Source organism: Homo sapiens, chromosome 8 (genome assembly GCF_000001405.40).
Source record: "Homo sapiens chromosome 8, GRCh38.p14 Primary Assembly".
Lineage (NCBI taxonomy): Eukaryota > Metazoa > Chordata > Mammalia > Primates > Hominidae > Homo > Homo sapiens.
Genome location: NC_000008.11, coordinates 11883529 through 11904725, shown reverse-complemented (window position 1 = coordinate 11904725; position 21197 = coordinate 11883529). Strand labels below are relative to the sequence as shown.

At 47.0% G+C, this 21197-nt stretch overlaps 3 annotated features.

Moving 5' to 3' along the window:
• Positions 1993 to 2494: an enhancer, noted in NCBI's record as "H3K4me1 hESC enhancer chr8:11759741-11760242 (GRCh37/hg19 assembly coordinates)". NCBI's record gives its function as "activates a minimal SCP1, AML or CMV promoter by ChIP-STARR-seq in primed H9 embryonic stem cells {active_cell/tissue: H9 hESC(primed)}" and the evidence as "EXISTENCE:reporter gene assay evidence [ECO:0000049][PMID:30033119]".
• Positions 2020 to 2259: an enhancer, noted in NCBI's record as "active region_27040". NCBI's record gives its function as "activates an Ori minimal core promoter by ATAC-STARR-seq in GM12878 lymphoblastoid cells {active_cell/tissue: GM12878}" and the evidence as "EXISTENCE:reporter gene assay evidence [ECO:0000049][PMID:35858748]".
• Positions 13418 to 13601: a silencer, noted in NCBI's record as "fragment chr8:11748634-11748817 (GRCh37/hg19 assembly coordinates)". NCBI's record gives its function as "represses an EF-1alpha promoter that drives an FKBP-Casp9 reporter gene in an ReSE screen in phorbol 12-myristate 13-acetate-treated (for megakaryocytic differentiation) K562 erythroleukemia cells {active_cell/tissue: K562(+PMA)}" and the evidence as "EXISTENCE:reporter gene assay evidence [ECO:0000049][PMID:32094911]".

Sequence of the window (21197 nt, the reverse complement as noted above, 5' to 3'; positions counted from 1 at the left end):
GTTGAATAAATAATGGATTACCAGGTTTGAGGTTCCAGGATAGAAGATAGGCTAGAGGCACCTAGTCTTCATAAAACTCCTTTGTTCTGCAGAGCGCTTCTGGCAAGAAGAATGTTAGGTGCATGGTGCAAAACCCCATCTTTTCAAATCTGCAAACCCTAGAGAGGAATCTATGCATTCTGCTCATTTAGAAGATAGCAGCACCCAGGCACGGTGGCTCATGCTTGTAATCCCAGCACTTCGGGTGGCCGAGGCAGGCAGATTGCTTGAGTTCAGGAGTTCAAGACCAGCCTGGGCAGCACAGCTAAACCCCATCTCTAGAAAAAGTAAAAAATTAGCTACGCCTGAGGGTGCCATGTGTACCAATCAAGTGGAGAGTTCAGATGCATAAACCAATAGCCAAATATAAGACAATAAGTACCGAAATTAAAGTGTGGTCAAGGTATCATCGACAACCAGGTGAGAGGACAGTAAACGCTGCCTGTCTGAGTCACAGAGACCTCCAGGGCGGAGTGACATGGGCTGCACTTTGACGGATGGGTAGGAGCTTCCGCTTTCGAGAAGCTCAGTAACCGGCTGCAGAGGCGTAACTTCTCCACACTAAAAGGTGGTTAGTACACGTAGTCCATGTATGTAAAATACATATATGTATTTGCACAGAAAAATGTTTTTAAGTCTAAGTAATACATTAATTAAAAATTAATAATAGGGGCACAGCGCAGTGGCTCATGACGGGAATCCCAGCACTTTGGGAGGCCAAGGAAGGCAGATTGTTTGAGGCCAGCAGTTCAAGACCAGCCTGGCCAATATGGCCAGACCCTGTCTCTACAAGTATATATACATAAAATAGTTAAATCAGAATAGTGGAATAATTCAGGAAAGTGGGTGATACTTTTTCTTTACACTTTTTGTGTATAGAAGAGCACATATAATTAGAAAACATTAAGATAATAATACCCCACATCTACACATCCAATATGAACATTTGTGTGGATCTCAGGAGGGCTGGGGGAGATGCCTTCCAGGCACCACGGATGGTGTGGAGGTGGGAAACCGTGGAGATATTTCAGAGGGACAGTGAGCCCCTCTGGCTGAGTAAAAAGTAGATGGAGTCGGCCAGGCGCAGTGGCTCACACCTGTAATCCTAGCACTTTGGGAGGCCAAGGCGGGTGGATCGTGAGGTCAGGAGTTCGGGACCAGCCTGGCCAATATGGTGAAACCCCATCACTACTAAAAATACAAAAATTAGCCAGGCACGGTGGTGTGTGCCTGTAGTCCCAGTTACTTGGGAGGCTGAGGCAGAAGAATCTCTTGAACCCAGGAGAGAGGTTGCAGTGAGCCGAGATCGTGCCACTGCACTCCAGCCTGGGTAACAAAGCAAGACTCCATCTCAAAAATAAAAAAGTAGCTGGAGTTGAGGGTAGAAGAGGAGGCCAGTCTTGGTGGCTCACGACTGTAATCCCAGTACTTCAGGAGGCCAAAGCAGGAGGATCACTTGAGGCAGGAATTTGAGACCAGCCTGGACAATATAGTGAGACCTTCGTCTCTGCAAAAATTCAAAACTTGGCTGGGCAGGTGGCACTGGCTTGTCCCAGCTTCGCCAGAGGTTGAGGTGGATCACTTGAGCTCAGGAGTTCGAGGTTGCAGTGAGTTATAATCGCCCCACTGCACTCCAGCCTGGGTGACAGAGTGAGACTTGTCTCTAAAAAAAATAAATAAATAAAACTGGAAGAGGAGACTAAGGCCCAACTGCGGGGCCGTAAATTTCAGGCAAAGGCTTTTGGCCTCTGACCTACCTCCCTGGCATGGCTTGCAGCAAGAAGGTTTAGCTTTCAACCGGGGATGTCTCTCTGCACCCCGTTTCCCAGATGGCAAGAAGCTCAGACGTGGCCGAGCTGAGCCTGGATCCCATCTCTGGTGACTGCAAGGCCTGGGTAGAAGGGCAGGGCAGGGGCAGCGGAGATGGAGGTGCAGGTGCCCCATCTGCCCGCAGATGCCCTCCAGTCACAGACAGGAAGGTCCCGAGACATACCTCACGGGAGAGCTTCCCAGTCCCGCAGACACAGCCCCGGCCACAGACCCTACTCGCGGAGGGAACGCTTGCGTCACAACAGAAGCCACAGAGGCGGGCCTCAGGATGCTCCAACAGGCGTGTGTGTCGCCATCTGTCCTCGTGGGAAGGCTCCTCCCCGCCGGGATGGTGTCCACCGGATCGCGACCAAAGCGGGGCCCTCCCCACTCTCTCCGCCTCCCCGCTTCCTTGGAATGAGGTGGCCGCTGTTTCCCAGCTGCCCGCTTGGTGGCGCTGCCAGCATTAATCGAGGGCGGCGCCGGGCCCCGCAGCCGCTGGAGCTCGGTGGAGAAACGCTCCGTGGTGACTTACAGTGGCCCAGAGGCCTGCATCACTTAAGCCCTGCATTAGACTCAGATCCAGGCCTGGAGAGGCCTGTCAAACCCACATAAGGTAGATAGGACAGAAATGGTGGCTGTCCATCATTCAAGGACATGTGGTCCCTTGAGGTTATGAGATCCACTCAAGTTTCCTTGGCTCAAATATCCAGCAAGCCACGCGGGGCAATCTAAAGAGACTCATCTCGACAAAACATGAAAAAAATTAGCCAGGCATGGTAGCAGGCATATGTAGTCCTAGCTACTCCCGAGGCTCAGGTGGGAGGATGGCTTCAGCATGGGAGAAAGAGGTTGCAAAAAGGCATGACCACAGCACTGCTTTCAAGCCTGGGCGACAAAGAGAGACCCTGTCTCAAACAAACAAACAAAAAGTCTAGTAAACAGAATTGCTTCCCTTTTTGTTGTTTGTTTTCTGAACAGTGCATATTTGTGCAGTAAACAAAAAGGCAGGGCTCAGGGGGATCAACAGGGTATTGGTGGGTCCAAACTGTCACCAACAGGACTCCAGTAGAGAAAAAAAGCAGACAGCCTTGAACTTTGATTTCAGAGCTGGGAAATTGTGGGAGGTCGCTACTATAAAATGCAGGAGACAGCGCTGGGAATGGCTCAACGTGGGTCTCTGGACTGAGGAGAGAGTCAAGGCCATGAACTGAGCCTGACTCTTCCTCCCAGCCTCTCAGGACCTGGCTCAGTTTAACTGTGAAGTGGGAACACTGGCCAGTGCCCTGCTCAGCTGGGAGGGAAGAAGTCTGGTAGGCAGAAAAGACTTTTAAAATTATTACATGCTCAATGAAGATAAAGAATTATTAATATCACCATCTTAATCATCATTATTGGAAAAAGACATCTCATCCAGTGCCCAGGAACAGCAGAGCAAAGACCATGAAGCACACACTCCTGGCTGCTCCTACTTTACATGGACATTAACATAGATGGGATTCAACTTTGGTGTTTTCACTCTGCAGCCAAATTTCCTGGTAATTTATAAGTCATCAGCTTGAGGGATACTCAACCTGGAGCCATTTGGGTACTGGGGCCAAAGGATTTCTGGGGGAACCCAAACTCAGTGACCTCCCCCATCACAAGGGCCCCATTTCAGAGGTTATGATGCCATAACCTTGACCTTGCCTCTCCCTCTTCTCTACCCTCTCCACCTCTGCCATATGACTTTGTTTGCTGCATTTGCCCCAGGTCGTCACAATTGCCCTCCACCTCCACCAACAGATTTCTAGCCACAATGGCGGCAGCAAGCTGCAGAAGTCAGGAGCAAAACTGGACAGGGACCACTGAATAACTGTCTTGTTTATAACACCCTTTATATTTCTCATTTCACTCATGTAGAAGTAGACAAATGGCCCTATTTCAAAAAAGGCTTGAACAAACATCTCACAAAAGATGTATGAATGGTTACTGAGCACACGAAAAGATGCTCAATGTCACTAATCATCAGGGAAATGCAAATTAAAGCTACAATGAGATCCTACCGCACACTCACGAGAGCAGTTACATTAAAAAGACTGACCACACTGATTGTCGCTGAGAATGTGGAACAACTGGAACTCTCATCGCTGCTGGTGGAAGTATAAAGTAGTACAACCACTTCAACACAGTTTGATCATTTCTTTAAAAGTTAAGCATGTAGCTACATATGATCCAGTGGTTTCACTTTTAGATATTTACCCAAGAGAAATGAAAACACAAGAGTTGCAGTAGAATGGCCACTGTGATTTTCCTTATAATGGCCAAGAAATGGAAACTCAAACTTCTGTCAACAGGTAAGGAGATAAACAAATTGAAGTCTATCTATTTGATGGAATACTACTCAACAATGAAAAAGAATGAAGTGTTGATACAGGCCCCTGTATAAAGGAATCTCCAAATAAGAACCCAGACCCCCTGGGAAAAAAAAAAGCATACTATGTGATCTCATTGATATATAATTCTAGAAAATGCAAATGAATCCCAAGTGAGAGCAGAATCAGTGGTTGCCTAGAGATAGAGGTGGAAGGAGCAGGAGGGAGGGATGATAAATGGCCACCAGAAAATTCTGGGAGGTGATGAGTGTTTTCATTGTCTTGGTTGTAGGGATGGCTCAGAATGTATATTCATGAGTGTAATGTTATTGGCAGGGCATGGTAGCTCATGCCTTTAATCCCAACACTCTGGGGGGCTAAGGCAGGAGGACCACTTGAGGCCAGCCTGGGCAACACAGCAAAACCCCACCTCTACAAAAAAATAAAAAATTATCCAGGTATGGTGGTGTGTACTTCTACTCCCAGCTACTCAGGAGGGTGAAATAGGAGGATCACTTGAGTCAAAGAGTTAAAAGTTGGAGTGTGCCATGATCACGCCATCGCTCTTCAGCATGGGCGACACAGCAAAACCCTGTCTCCAAAACAAAACAAAACTTATCAAAGTGTACACTTTAAACACATGCAGTTTGCTGTACATCAGTTATACCTCATGAAAGCCGTTAGTATTTTTTTAATTTTTAAAAAAGACAAACCACTGATACTCGTAACAGATGGATGATTGTCAAAATCATTCTGTTGAATGAAAGAAGCCAGACATGAAAGATAATGTTCTGTGTGGTTCCATTTATTCAAAATGCCTAGAAATGAAAACTAATGGGGGCCAGGCATGGTGGCTCATGCCTATAATCCCAGCACTGTGGGAGGCCGAGGCAGGCAGATCTCCTGAGGTCAGGTGTTCAAGACAAGCTTGGTCAACATGGGGAAACTGCATCTTTACTTAAAAAAAAAAAAATATATATATATATATATATATATATATATATATAAATTAGCTGGGCTTGCTGGCACATGCCTTTAGTCCCAGCTACTCAGGAGGCTGAGACAGGAGAATCACTTGAACCTGGGAGGCGGAGGTTGTAGTGAGCCAAGATCGTGCTACTGCACTACAGCCTGGGTGACAGAGCAAGACTCCATGTCAAAAAAAAAAAGAAAAGAAAATTAAGGGGAACAGACAATATCAGTGGCTGCCTGGGGCAAACGTGGGCATAGAGACAGATTGCATATAGTTGTTTAAAAATACATCAGAGGCTTCAGGAGGCTGAGGCAGGCAGATCACTTGAACCCAGGAGTTCAAGACCAGCCTGGGCAACACGGTGAGACATCATCTCTACAAAAAAAAAATACAAAAATTAGCAGGGCATGGTGGCATGCACCTGTAGTCCCAGCTACACAGGAGGCTGAGGCGGACGGACCACCTGAGCCCAGGAAGTCGAGCTGTGATTATGCCATTGCATTCCAGCCTGGGCGACAGAGTGAGACCCTGTCTCAAAAAAAATTAATAATAAAAATACATCAGAGCAGCCGGGCACAGTAGCTCATGCCTGTAATCCCAGCACTCTGGGAGGCCAAGGTGGGCAGATCACTTGAGGTCAGGAGATCAAGACCAGCCTGGACAAAATGGTGAAACCCCACCTGTAATCCCAGCTACTCAGGAGGCTGAGGTAGGAGAAACGTTTGAACCCGGGAGGAGGAGGTTACAGTGAGCTGAGATTGTGCCACTGCACTCCAGCTTGGGCAACAAGAGCGCAACTCCGTCTCAAAAAAAAAAAAAAAAAAGAAAATGCTGTTCCTGTATTGACTGTTTTTCAGCAGCCAACACCGACATCCACGTTCGCTGGCAAGATGAGCAGTGTTGTACTTGGAGCTCAAGACAGCTCCGGCAATCCCTGCTCCTGGGAGTCATACCCCTGTGCTTCCTCTCTGGACCTTGGTCCTGCCCAGCGACCTCAACTTCTGCTGATCCTCCTGTACTGCACAGGGCCGGACTGTGTAGCCACTGGGATATTGCAGAAATGACCGTGTGGCATCCAAGACAAGGTCCTAAAAGACACTGCAGCTTTTGCCTTGCTCTCTTTTGTGTCACTCGCTCAGGGAGAAGCCAGCACCACGTGGAGAAGGTGCTCAAGCAGCTCAAATGAGGAGAAACGGAGGCCTCCTGGCAAGAGCCAGCACCAACTTGCTGGCCATGCAAGTGAGCCACCTCAGAAACAGAAGCAGCAGCCTCATCAAGCCTTCAGATGACAGCAGCCCCCAGCAGACCCCTTACAGAGATTCCATGAGAGACCCTAGGTCAGAACAGCCCAGCTACACCACTCCCAGATCCTGAATCACAGAAACCATGAGATCATAAATGACTGTTGTCTTAAACCACTAAGTTTGGAAGTAAACTGCTTCTCAGCAAAAGATAACTGGGATAAGCAGTGATGGGCAAAAGCACAAACCATGAGATAGCAGAGATGTGTTTCAGTTCCTGTGCTTCCACTTACTGCTGTGCCTGTCTGAGCCTCAGTGAACTCACCTAAAAAAGACAATAGTGTGAAAATACTACTGGCTTCACAAGTGTGTTAAAGGATCAAACATATATAAAGCGAACAGCGCAGTGTTAGGCCCAGAAAGGTAATAAATGCTGTTTCTCTTCTTCAACCACGCTTCCCACCCCACCATTCTCCCACTCAGTGGCAGATTTTCTCATCTGTAAAATGGACTTGAAACACCTCCCATGAGATTGCTGTGGGGATCAAATCAAAGTCTGTCTTTGGAGAGGCTTTGTAAATCCTAAAGTACTCACCAAAGGCTCTTACTAGCACGTAAGGACCTGTCTCAGGAGAATCTGCCTAGCATGACTTCCTTTGTTGAAGGTTACAATCAAGGGCTCCCCCAAAAATCTATTTTAGGTTGGAGTCACGTAGACATGAATGGAAAGTGGCAGGAAGACTGTTCCCCACTGCTGACACCAGGCCCACAAACCAGCTATTGGCAAAGAGTTGCAGTTTTGAAAAGCTCAAACTCCAAAGTAGATACGGGCATGTGATTCCGTGGTCAGGAGACACTGAGGTCACTGTGCAGGCCAAAGATTCAGAGAGGAAGCAAAACTACAGAAATGAAAGCTCCTTTCTAAAGACTTGTGAAGAAACAAGTGGAGTTTCGCTGTGTTGTCAAGTTTGTGCCCTCTCTTTGCCTGTGCGTGGACAGGTCTGACATCCATGGTTCGGCAGCTCCCCCCGCCCCCCTGCACCCTGCCCTCAAGTCCTTCTGGGGAGGGAACTGGCCTGTGGGGGCGTCCACTCAAGGTAAGCAAACAACCCTCTTAAATCATGCCCTGACAGCAGGCCAAGAACCACGCAGATAGGGGGACAGAAAGAGAAAGAAAAACAACCTGGTCGAATGACCTGGTCAAATTATGCCTGAAAGTCCCTGTGAAAGTTTTGCTCTCTGAAATTTTGCCTCAAGATCTGGATTTCTTGAAAGATGGCTGCATCTGGGCCAGCTGAGCGGAGGTTGCAGTGAGCCCCGGTGTGGCTGAGGAAGACTGGAGAGGCACTGGCTGCTGGGAGAAGGGGAGTATAATGCTAAGATGCAAAATCATCAACCAGATGATACTATACTATCAAGGAAAATGTAGCAACATTCAGTATCATAACCAGAAAAATTAACCAACTTCCACAAGCAGAAAGGGATCTGTGTGAGCATGGGATCGACATATATTGGACTGAACACTGCCCTTCATGGCTTCATACCAATGTCAGTGAGCCCCCCTACCCTTTTTTTTTTTTTTTTTTGAGACAAAGTTTCACTCTTTCGCCCAGGCTGGAATGCAATGGCGCATTCTCGGCTCACTGCAACCTCCGCCTCCGTGTTCAAGCAATTCTGCCTCAGCCTCCTGACTAGCTGGGATTACAGGCACCCACCACCATAATCGGCTAATTTTTTTTTTTTTTTTTGAGATGGAGTCTCGCTCTGTCACCCAGGCTGGAGTGTAGTGGCGCAATCTCGACTCACTGCAACCTCCGCCTCCCAGGTTCAAGCAATTCTCCTGCCTCAGCCTCCTGAGTAGCTGGGATTACAGGTGCCTGCCACCATGTCCATATAATTTTTGTATTTTTAGTAGAGATGGGGTTTCACCATGTTGGTCAGGCTGGTCTCGAACCCCTGACCTTGTGATCCACCTCGGCCTCCGAAAGCGCTGGGATTACAGGTGTGAGCCACCGTGCCCGGCCATGATCAGCTAATTTTTGTTTATTAGTAGAGACGGGGTTTCACCATATTGGCCAGGCTGGTCTTGAACTCCTGACCTCAGGTGATCCACACGCCTCGGCCTCCCAAAGTGCTGGGATTACAGGCGTGAGCCACCGTGCCCAGCCAGTGATCCCCCTTTGGACAGCATGCATCTCACAAGGGGTTTGTGAGTTTATTTTTGCAGGCAGGTGATTTGAATTTTGAAACCTGTACCATCAAACGGCATGCATTGGCTGGCCTTCTTTTGGGTGGTCTGTACCGGTTTTATAGGCTATACCTATGAATGGTGGCCTAGCAGTCAGGCATGACTCAACCCTGCTACCTGGGAAAGAAAACAGTTTACTGGATTAGAATGTCTATGCTCATCTCCAGAAATATGTTATTTCCCATTTTGCTTCAGACTGTGTTTGCAGTAAACATTGCAAACACAATATAGAAAATATAAACCACTTATAAAGATATAGAAAATATAAAGATATAGAAAATATAAACCACTTATAAAGATATAGACCACTTATAAAAACATAAGCCACTTATAAAGATATAGAAAATATAAACCACTTATAAAGGCCCTTCAGTTACCTGAAGCTGGCCTAGAAATTCACTGATTTTAAGGAAATATGTACACAAAAATAAAATGGTTCCCCCAAAAATGTTAATCTAAATTTCTTTTATTCAATTTTCCTATCATATTTTTCCACAGAAGTGAAATAATCAGCACATTAAAATTTTTTGTGTGCTTCTGCGAGCAGAGCTTTTAAATTTTTTAAATTTTAATTTAAAAATGTTTTTCTTTAAAAATTCTTGTCCAAAGTTGATGCAAAAAAATTTTTTAAATAGAGATGGAGGCAGGTCATGGTGGCTTATGTCTGTAATCCCAGCACTCTGGGAGTTCGAGACCAGCCTGGGCAACATGGTGAGACACTGTCTCTACAAAAAATAAAAATTAAATAGAAGTGGAGCAAGATGGCCAAATAGAAGCCCCCACTGATCATACTCCATACAGGAACACCAAATTTAACAACTATCCACACACAAAATTACCTCCATAAGAACCAAAAATCAGGAGAGTAATGACAGTACTTGGTTTTAACTTCATATCGCTGAAAGAGTCACTGAAGAGTGTGGGAAAGACAATCTTAAATTGGCGATCACCTCCCCCGACCCCTCAACATCCCCTGGCAGTGGCTGGCTGCGTGACATGAAGAGAGAATCTGTGTGCTTGGGAGAAGGAGAGCACAGCAATCGCGGGAACTTGAATTGGAATTCAGAGCTACTGACATAGGGCAGAACTCAGCCAGTGGCCCTGGAGGGAGCATGTAGACCAGTCCTAGCCAGAAGGATAGATTCCAACCCATCCCAGAGGTTGGAACTTGAGTTTTGGCAAGCCTCACCACCATGGGCTAAAGTGCAGTGGGGCTCTAAATAAACTTGAAAGATGTTTAGGCCACAAGGACTGCAAATCCTAGGCAAGTCCTGGTGCTGTGGTGGGCTCAGAGCCAGTGGACATTGAGGGGCACATGAGCTAATAAGACACCACCCAGGGTGCCTAAGGGAGTGCTTGCAGCACCCCTCCCACAATCCCAGGCAGCACAGCTCACAGCTCCAAAACAGACCCCTTCCTGATGCATAGGAGAAGAGAAGGAAAACTAAAGAGGACTTTGTCTTGCAACTTGGATACCAGCTCAGCCACAGTAGGATAGGACACTAGTCACAGTCTTGAGGGCTCCATTCCAGGCCCTATCTCCTGGATGACATTTCTAGACACACCCTGGGCCAGAAGGGAACCCACTGACCTGGAGAGAAGAGCTCAGTCCTGGAAGAATTAATCACTTGCTGACTAAAGAGCCCTTGGACCCTGAATAATCAGCAGCAGTAACCAAGTAGTACAGGCAGTTGGCCTTGAGTGAGACTCTGAGACGTGCTGGCTTCAGGTGTGACCAGAAGCACATTCACAGTTCTGGTGGCTACGAGGAGAGAGTCCTTCTGCTTGAGAAAGAGAGAGGGAAGAGGAAAGAGCACTTTGTGATGAGCTTAGGTGCCAGCTCAGCCGCAGTGAGGAAGAGCACCAAAAGGGCCCTTAAGGCCCTCGATTCCAGGCTTGATCCAGCAGAAGAAAGAATGAGTGAGCTTGAAGATAGACTACTTGAAAATACACAGTCAGAGAAGACAAAAAAAAGAGAGAATAAAAAACAACAAAGCATGCCTATAAGACCTAGAAATTAGCCTCAAAAGGGCAAATCCAAGTAATTGTTCTTAAAGAGAAAATAGAGAGAGATTGGGTAGAAAGTTTATTCAATAAAATAATAACAGAGAACTTCCCAAACCTAGAGAAAGGTATCAATTTTAAAGTACAAGAAGGTTATTGAACACCAATCAGATTTAACCCAAAGAAGACTACCTCAAGGTATTTAATAATCAAACTCCCAAAGATCAAGGATAAAGAAAGGATCCTAAAATCAGCAAGAGAAAAGAAACAAATGACATCCAATGGAGCTCCAATCCATCTGGCAACAGACTTTTCAGTGGAAAGGCCAGGAGAGAATAGTATGACATATTTAAAGTGCTGAGGAAAGAAACTTTTACCTAGAATAGTTTATCTAGCAAAAATATCCTTCCAACATGAAGGAGAAAAACTTCCCTGACAAACAAATGCTGCGGGATTTCATCGACTCTAGACCTGTCCTCCAAGAAATGCTAAGGGCCGGGGTCGTGGCTCATGCCTGTAATTCCAGCACTTTAGGAGACTGAGGCAAGCGGGTCACTTGAGGCTAGGAGTTCAAGATCAGCCCGGTCAACGTGGCGAAACACCATCTCTACTAAAAATATAAAAATTAGTCGAGCGTGTTGGCGTACGTCTGTAATCCTGGGTACTCGGGAGACTGGAACATGAGAATCACTTGAACCCGGAAAATGGAGGTTGCAGTGAGTCAAGATTGTGCCACTGCACTGCATCCTGGGTGACAGAGTGAGACTCCATCTCACACACAAAAAAAAAAAAAAAAAAAAAAGCTAAAGGAAGTTCTTCAATCTGAAAGAAAAGGACATCAATGAATAATAGGAAATCATATGAAGGTGCAAAACTCACTGGTAAGTACACAGAAAAACAGAAAATATTATAACACCATAATTGTCGTGTGTAAACTACTCATGTCTTAAGGAAGAAGACTAAAAGATGAACCAATCAAAAATAATCACTACCATGACTTTTCAACTCATAGACAGTACAATAAGTTATCAATAGAAACAGTGGGCCAGATGTGGTGGCTCATTACTGTAATCCCAGTACTTTGGGAGGGGGAGGCAGGTGGATCACCTGAGGTCAGGTGTTCAAGACCAACCTGGCCAACATGGTGAAACCCTGTCTCTACTAAAAATACAAAAATTAGCCAGGCATGATAATTTAAAAATTAGCACACACCTTAATCCCAGCTACTAGAGAGGCTGAGCCAGGAGAATTGCTTGAACCTGGGGGACAGAGGTTGCAGTGAGCTAAGATAGTGCCACTGCACTCCAGCCTAGGTGACAGAGTGAGAGTCTGTCTCAAAAAAAATAAATAAATAAGTTAATACGTGGGGAGAGCAAGTTAAAGTGTAGAATTTTTATTAGTTTTCTTTTTGCTTGTTTGGTAGTTTGGTTTTTGTTTATGCAATCAATGCTGTCATCAATTTAAAATAATTGTTTACAAGATATTTGCAACCCTTACAGTAACCTCAAACCTAAAAACATACAACAAATACACAAAAATAAAAAGAAAGAAAGTGGCCAGGCGTGGTGGCTCATGCCTGTAATCCCAGCACTTTGGGAGGCCAAGGTGGGTGGATCACCTGAAGTCAGAAGTTTGAGACCAGCCTGGCTAACATGGCAAAACTCCGTCTCTACTAAAAATACAAAAATTAGCCTGGTGCGGTGGCGTGTCCCCTCCTGTGGTCCCAGCTACTTGGGAGGCTGAGGGAGGAGAATCACCTGAACCTGGGAGGCAAAGGTTGCAGTGAGCCAAGGTTGCTCCACTGCACTCCACAGCCTGGGCGACAGAGCAAGAGTTCGTCTCAAAAAAGAAAAAAGAGAGAAAAGCAAACAAAGGCTGGGCGCGGTGGCTCATGCCTGTAATCCCAGCACTTTGGGAGGCCGAGGAGGGCTGATCACGAGGTCAGGAATTTGAGACCAGTATGGCCAACATAGTGAAACCCCATTTCTACTAAAACTACAAAAAAAAAAAAAATTAGCCGAGTGTGGTAGTGTGCGCCTATAACCACAGCTACTCGAGAGGATGAGGCAGGAGAATTGCATGAACCCAGGAGGTGGAGGTTGCAGTGAACTGAGATCTCGCCATTGCACTCCAGTCTAGGCAACAGTGTGAGACTCTGTCTCAAAAGAAAATAAAATACAGAGGAGAGGAGAGGAGGGGAGGGGAGGAGAGGAGAGGGGAGGGGAGGGGATCTTGGAGAGCTATCCAAACTTCTCATTTCATCAGGAAGGAATCTGAGGGTTTAGTAACAAGGGGCCTCATCCCAGATGACTCAGATTTACTGGTCACTTCCTTTTCTGTTCAGGGAATCTGCCTCAGGCCAATACTAATTGGACCCCAGAGAGTCTTTATTCTACCATCTCAAAAACCTTGTTTAGGATTGTCTTAGCTATTTACTGCTGAGTGACAAAGGAGCATAAATTTGGCACCTAAAACAACACACATCGGCAGGGTGAAGTGGCTTACACTTGTAATCCCAATACTTTGGGAGGCTGAGGTATGAGGATCACTTGAGCCCAGCAGTTTGAGACCAGCCTCAGCAACATAGTGAGATACCATCTCTACCAAAAAATAAAAGTTGTTAAATTAGCTGGTCATGGTGATGTGTGCCTGCCATCCTAGCTACTCAGAAGGCTAAGGCAGGAGGATCACTTGAGCCCAGGAGTTCAAGGATGCAGTGAGCTATGATCATGCCACTGCATTCCAGCCTGGGTGACAAAGCAAGATTCTGGCTCACACACACACACACACACACACACACACACACACACACACACGTTTTCTCACAGTTTCTGTAGGTCAGGAATCTGGACACAGCTCAGCTGGTTCCTCCATTTTATGGTCTCTCACAAGACCACACTCAAGGTGTCAGGCAAGGTTGAGTCTTATCGAAAGGCCCAACTGGGGAGAATCTGCTTCCAAGCTCACTTTTTGGTCGTTGACATGACTCAATTGCTTTTAGGCAGTTGAACAAAGGGCCTTGATTCCTAGGTGTTTTTTCCCAGAAGGCACCCTGTGTTTCTTGCCTTGTGGGCCTCCCCAATCAAGCAACTTGCTTTATGAAAGCTTATAAAGGAGAGAGTCTGCCACCAAGACACAAGTCGTCATCTTATATTTACAGAGGTGACATCCTATCATCTTTGCTCTTCTCTGTTTGTTAAAACCAAATCGAAGGTCCTGCCTGCACACAATTGGGGACATTACACAAGGGTGAGAACACCAGGAGTCAGGGACCACAGGGAGCCATCTCAGAGTTCACTCAACACAAAGATATTAATCTTCATTAAGCTCTTTCTGCCCCAGAAAGCAGCCCAGCTTTTGTGGATGTTGTGAGGCCTGTCTCCCAGAAGGGCATTTATTAACCAAACAGTATACAAGATGGTATTAGTCCATTTTTATGCTGCTGATAAAGACATATCAGAGACTGGGCAATTTACAAAAGAAAGAGGTTTATTGGACTTAAAGTTCCACATGGCTGGAGAGGCCTCACAATCATGGTGGAATGTGAAAGTCACATCTCACATGGGGGCAAACAAGCGAAGAGAGAATTTGTGCAGGGAAACTCCCATTTCTAAAGCCACCAGACTTCATGAGACTCATTCACCATCTCAAGAACAGTGCAGGACAGACCTGCCCCCATTATTCAATCACTGCCCACCAGGTTCCTCCCACGACACATGGGAATTCTTGCAGTTACAATTCAAGATGAGATTTGGGTGGAGACACAGCCAAACCATGTGCAGTGGCACAATCGGCCCACTGCAACCTCTGCCATCCAGGTTCAAGCAATTCTCATGCCTCAGCCTCCTGAGTAGCTGGGATTACAGGCATGTGCCAGCACACCTGGCTGATTTTTGTATTTTTAGTAGAGACAAGGTTTCACCATGTTGGCCAGGCTGGTCTTGAACTCCTGACCTCAAGTGATCTGCCCACCTCAGCCTCCCAACATGCTGATGCCTGGCCCGATTTCTTCTTTTTCAATATAATGTGGAATTATCTGATATCTGGATCCAATTTAGTTGTTTATGGAACTGAAACTTCCATTTATTTTGTGGATTATTTCCAAAAACTGATTGGGACTTTGTGTCCGATTTCATTCGTTTCTGTGTGTCATCAAAAGCTGTATTTGTTATGGAGATTAATAATATGTTCTAATTCCCCAGAACTTAGCCATGTCTAACCCTGATATGGACAAGGTTCCATCACCTTTTATAAGACCTTTACAGTAAGTCTTCAATAAATATTTGTTGAATGAATGAGTAAATGACTGAATGGATGGGTGAATGGACACTTTCGCTGGCTTGGGTTTGGGCAGACAGTAGGAAGTGGGGGCCACTGTTTCACCAAAGGAATCACGCTGGAGAAAATCCCTGCATAGCATTGAGTTGTGCAACTATAAATCTATTCCCATAAATTCCAATCAATCCTGTAAACTTCAGAGCAAAAATGCCAGGCTGTGTTAGTTTGCTCAGGCTTCCGTAACAAAATACCACAGGCTGGGCAACTTAACAATAGGCGTTCGTTTTCTCACAGTTTTGGAGGTTAGAAGTCTGAGATCAAGGTGTTGGCATGGCTGGTTTCTCCTCAGGCTATGCCTTCTCCGTGTCCCCACATGTTGTTGGGTTTTTTTTTTTTTCTGTGTATGTGCAGCCTTCATGTCTCTCCCTCCTCCTATAAGGACACCAATCAGATTGAATTAGAGCCCACCCTAACAGCCTCGTTTAACTTAACTACCTCTTTAAAGACCGTGTCTCCAAAGACTGGGTGTGGTGGCTCACAATGTAATCCCAGCACTTTGGGAGGTGGGAGCGAAAAGATTGCTGGAGCCCAGGAGTTTGAGACCAGCAGGGCAACATAGTGAGGCTCTGTCTCTACAAACTGTTTAAAAAAACAGCTGGGTGTGGTGGCGCATGCCTGTAGTCCCAGCTACTCAGGAGGCTGAGGCAGGAGGATCGCTTCAGCCAGGTAGAAGAGGCTACAGTGAGCTATGATCATGCCACTGCACTCCAGCCTGGGCAACACAGCAAGATCCTGTCTCTAAAACAAAACAAAAATCAAAACCTTATCTCCAAATATAGTCACATTCTAAGGTAGTTGGGCTTAGGACGTCACTGTGTGACTTTGAGGGAAGTCACTATTTAGACCATACCACAGACCAGGCCTCGTTTTTGCAGGCCTTCCTGTCCTTGCCTCTCACCATCAGACCCTGTCAGTCCCCAAGTCAGTTGACTGAGGAGCCTTCTATCAGCAGCCCCAGACCATTCTTATGGGGGTGTGAGGGGACAGTGCAGGTCCCTAGAGGATATGTCCATCTTCTTTACTCTGGGGATCAGCCCAGAGTCTGGGGGCCACAGTGGACCCCTCTGAACAGCTGCTCCCCAACCCACACACTCCCACTCCCTTCAATGGGGCACCTCCCTACACGCCCGGCCCTCCTGCACTGCTCCTCAATTCCCATCCCTAACCTTGTCTCCTCACACAACTCCAAACCCTGAACTGCCTCCCAATGGCCCTCAGATTTAGCAGTGGCTGTAGACAGATTCGTGCAGGCACAAACCCTGATAGTAGGAAGCTCCCGAGGTGCCACTCCGCCCGAGCCCACGAGCATAGCGCTCACCCTTCCGGCGGTCCTCCCTCCCTCGTTGCTGTTCCTCCTCTTCCCCTTCCTGATCCCTCCTTGGATGGCTGACCTTTCAGCTTAAAGTCTCTGGCTCACTCCTGGGACCTGTGGAGAACGTTTTGGTTTGGTTTGGTTTTGGCTGTTCTCGCTACGCTGGTGAACTCTCAGTCCCGTGGAACTGATGCCATCTGTGCACTGATTGATTGCAAATCCATGTCCCCAGCTTGGCTCTCTGTGAACTCCAGACTCAGCTCTGTTCAGTGTCTTGGCTCGAATGTTTAATAAGGCATCTCATTCTTGACATGCCCCAAACTGAGCTCCTGCTCTCCCCCATAAAACTTCCTCCTCTGAAGTCTTCCCCACCCACGTTTATAGCATTCCCATTGTTGCACAACCATCTCCACCATCCATCTCCAGAACTTTCTCATCCCCCAGCTGAAACGCTACACCTATTAAACACTAGCTCCCCCTTCCCCAGCTCTTGACAGCCCCCATTCTACTTCCTGGGCCTGGGCTTTTACTTTGATGGTGTGGGCGCGATTGGTGGCCTTTGAGCAGAGGAGTGTATGATTTGACTTGGGTTTTAAAGAAGCCCTCGGGCGCTGCGTTGAGACTGACATGCCAGGCGTGAGGGAGAAAGCAGGACGCAGGGGGTCATTAGGAGGAGCCCAGAGGCTCAGCCAAAAAAAAAAAAAAAAGAAGCTGGGCGCATTGGGTCATGCCTGTAATCCCAGCACTTTGGGAGGCTGAGGCTGGTGGATCACGAGATCAGGAGATCGAGACCATCCTGGCTAACACGGTGAAACCCCATTTCTACGAAAAGTACAAAAAATTAGCCGGGTGTGGTTGCGGGCGCCTGTAGTCCCAGCTACTCGGGAGGCTGAGGCAGGAGAATGACGTGAACCCGGGAGGTGGAGCTTCCGGTGAGCCAAGATCACGCCACTGCACTCCAGCCTGGGCGACAGAGCGAGACTCCGTCTCAAAAAAAAAAAAACAACTTGGAATCATCCTGCTTCCTCTTTTTCTGTCTTTTTCTCTCATAGCCCACACCCAACCCATGAGGAAATCTCTGCCTTCAGAATATTCTCACTTCTCACACCTCCCTGCAAGCCCCCTGCTCCAAGTCACCCTCTCCCCTAGCCTGGATTCCTGTTTTGTCTTTCATTTGAGCCAACATTTAAAAAGCAGGAAGCTTCATCCAAAAATACGGATTTCTGCTTCTAGCGAATAAAGAAGCAGCCATGGCAACATTCTGCTATCATCCTCTCTTGGCAGGAATCTGCTAGAACTAAGTAGAAGCTACCGTCTTTATTTAAGGCTTACACGTTCCACTTTTCCTCCTCCGTCCTTTAGTTTCTCCGCAACATTGAGGCCACGTGTGAATTACCACTTGTCATTGTCACTGAACTTTTTCTTTTAGAAAAAAGAGAAATAGGGATAGGCGCTTTGAGGGTTCAAGGTGATAGGATCACTTGATACCAGGAGGTCAAGACCAGCCTGGGCAACATAGGGAGCCCCTGTCTCTACAAAATAATAATAACTAATTAATTAATTAATTTAGCTAGGTGTGGTGACACACACCTGTGGTCCCAGCTACTTGGGAGGCTGAGGCAGGAGGATTGCTTGAGCCTAGGAGTTTGAGGCTGCAGTGAACCATGATTGTGCCACTGCACTCCAACCTGAGCAACAGAGTGAGACCTTGTCTCAAAAAAATAAAAAATAAAAATGCTGGATGCGGCAGCTCACACCTGTAACCTCAGCATTTTTGGGAGGCTGAGGTGGGAGGATCACGTGAGTCCAGAAGTTTAAGACCAGCCTAGGCAACATAGCAAGACCCCATCTCTTAAAAAAAAAGAATTAGCTGGGATCTTCAGTTGTCACATAGGTGGAAAAAAAAAGAAAAAAATTAAAATAAAAAATTAGGTAGGCGTGGTGGTGCATGCTTGTGGTTCCAGCTACTTAGGAGGCTGAGGTGGGAGAATCAGTTGAGCCCGGGAGATTGAGGCTGCAGCGAGCCGTGATTGCACCACTGCACTCCAGCGTGGATGACACAGCAAGATCCTTTCTCGAAACAACAGCAACAAAAACCCTGAATTGCCAACCCGGGGAGCCTCTGATGGACTCCGCCCTGACCAGGACTGTAATGAGCTGTGGACGGGGCTCATGGGCTATTGCGTTCCATAGTGCAATTCACCTCACCATTTATGTGAGTGGCACCCCCTAAGGTTATGCCATGGGCAGTCACACAGCCATCCAGTGCATCCTGGAGACAGAGGAAAAGTCAAGTGTGGTCTGGGCCCAGGACCAGGACAGCAGGGTGGGCAGGCATGGCCAACAGAAGGAGCCCTCTAAGCTTCACTGGGAAAATGAACAGAAGGGAGGAAGGAAGGCATGGGGCTGGTTGTGGGGTCAGACTCTGCTTCCGTGACCCTCAAAGCAGAGATGGCAAAGCAAACCTCCAGGGCCTCCAAAGGCCTCACGAGTCCTGGCTGTGGAGCGGGGGCTTGCAGGAGGCTGCAGGCTCAGGAGCACCCAGGACATCAGTGGCCTCTGCAGACCAGCCTCGTCTGAATGCTTCCATCACAGTAACGCAGAAGTTTCTGGACACCAAGAGACAGAGGCCAGGCAACATGTTTTCACAGTCTCATTAGTCCCTGTCCAAAGTAGTGCCATGCAATATGGGGCAGTCCCACACCGAAGGGGCCTCTTCACTGCCCGCCTGTCCAGGGTCCTTACCGCCATTGACGGGTCACCTGGACCCTGCAGCCACACTCTGGAAGAGCCTCTGCAGAGAGGCTTCAAGCCCCTTTTCTTTCTTCCCCTGCTGCAGAGAAGGGGCTCACGAAGGCATCCTGTCAAGCTTCTCTTGCCTTACTTAGAATAATGACGGGCTAGGTTTTTGTTTTTCAACTGTCAAATCAAAACAGAAAAAAAGCAAATGTAGATTGTAGACCCAGGGGACTTTTGCAAGGGATCCTTCTGGCATGAAACTTTCTCCTTTCTCTGCCTGGCATATTTTCTGGTAAAGGGGAACACACATCTTGGGGAGGTATCTCGAGAGTCGATAATAGTTATGGTTCAGTTCCGTCTGCTTCCCAGAGAATTCTAACTGTATTGCATAGTGAGTGCCAAGACCTCTTGAGGCCAGTGGGGGATTGCCTGAGGGGCTCCCATAACTCATCCATGGACTCATTTAGCAGGAAGGAGCTGAGGGAGGAGGCAGGCAGGAACCAGTCCTGAGTGAGGGCAGGGAAGTGTAGGGTGCCATCTCTCCCTTCAGGGCAACCCAGGGTAGTGGCACTTATGCTGCAAGGTACAAGTACCTGCAAGGCCACTAGCAAGGTGACGACAGAGAATGAACTCCAGCAGGCTTAGGAAAGGGAGAGTTCACTTCCCACCACGGGGATCAATAACACTGCGGAAAACAGATGCATTCATTCTTGGCCTGAGCTCCCAGGTGCAAATGGAGAGAGGGGAGGGCATTGGAAGTACAGAGAGCAGCAAAAACAAATTTCAAAGGCATGGCTATGAAAGGCTCCACGTGAAACTTCTTCAAAAGAATGCCCCACGGTCTACTGTGGCCGCCATTCCTTCCTGGTGCTTAACCTCCCTCCCTCAGCTGCTCTTTCCAGCCACATCTAGTCCCCTTGCCAGCTAGATTCTACTGGCAGAAGATTCAAAGACAGAAATCCCCCTGTCTTCCAGTCTAACTCCGAAGCCTCTATGGTAAAGCCTACCTGAGTCTCTCAGTCTGAATTCTAGCCTCTCCTCCCCACCCTCCCTGACACAGCATTTCTGAGTATGTGAGTACTGAAGTGCTAACTCATGCGGATCCTCAACTAGAATTCCAGCTCCTTGAGGGAGTCTCTGGGGCTCACTCTGCTTTCTGTCCCACCCCATGTTCTTCCCACCCGGCTGCCTCAAGAAGAGCTCTCCATCTCTCTCGGTCTGTCTCAGTCTCTCTCTATCACTGCCCCGGCCGTCTTTGCTGAATGCCAGTCACTGAATTGAGTTCATGTCCTGACTTTACTGCTGACCTATCTGGGATCTTGGACAGGTTACCTCATTCCTTGTGCCTCAGTTTCCTCATCTGTTAAAAGGTCTTAAAATTGATGTAAGGACTGAACGATATTGTGCATCGAAAGTACATGTTAACTATTATTATCATTTACATTTACTTGTTATGTATACAAAACATATATCTTTAAATCTGTCTTTGAAAATTCCAGAGCTATTTTTACCTTACACCCAGAGATAAAAATTTGCTTTGATAACTACAAGAAGAGAGTGACCTATCCTTGAGCTCACAATGATCTGAGACTATTCCAGAAAGAAAAAGGAATTCCTGCCATCCCCTTTCAGCTCAAACCACAGAGTCGGCTTTTAGAAATCCATAAAATATTTAGGACAGGTTTGCTACACCAGACTTGCCGTAACTGGCCAACTTTTTACAAGTGGACCAATGTAATTATTTATAACAACAAAGGGCACGATTTCATAAGGCTACTTGAATGTAAGGAAGGGGGAAGTGCAGGGATTGAATGGTGAGTTTGAATGTTAGAAATGTGAGGAAAAAATACTCTTTTTTCCCTAGTGTTGATAATCTTATTGCTTCCTGAAGAAATAGCACCTGGATCTGTGTGAGAACCACTATCCCCCCTATTTCTTCTCCTCCTCTGACTTGGTTGCAACACATTTCTGTGAATTCCAGAAAAAGCAAACAATTCCTCAGTACTCCTAGCCCAAGACAAGTACCAGAGTAGACCCTGCATCTAGACGATGCTGAGCAGGCTTTACATGTTTTTCTCCTCCTGACATCAGCTTTTCCCGTGAAACTCTGAAAAATACTGCAAGCACTCCCTGCAGAATC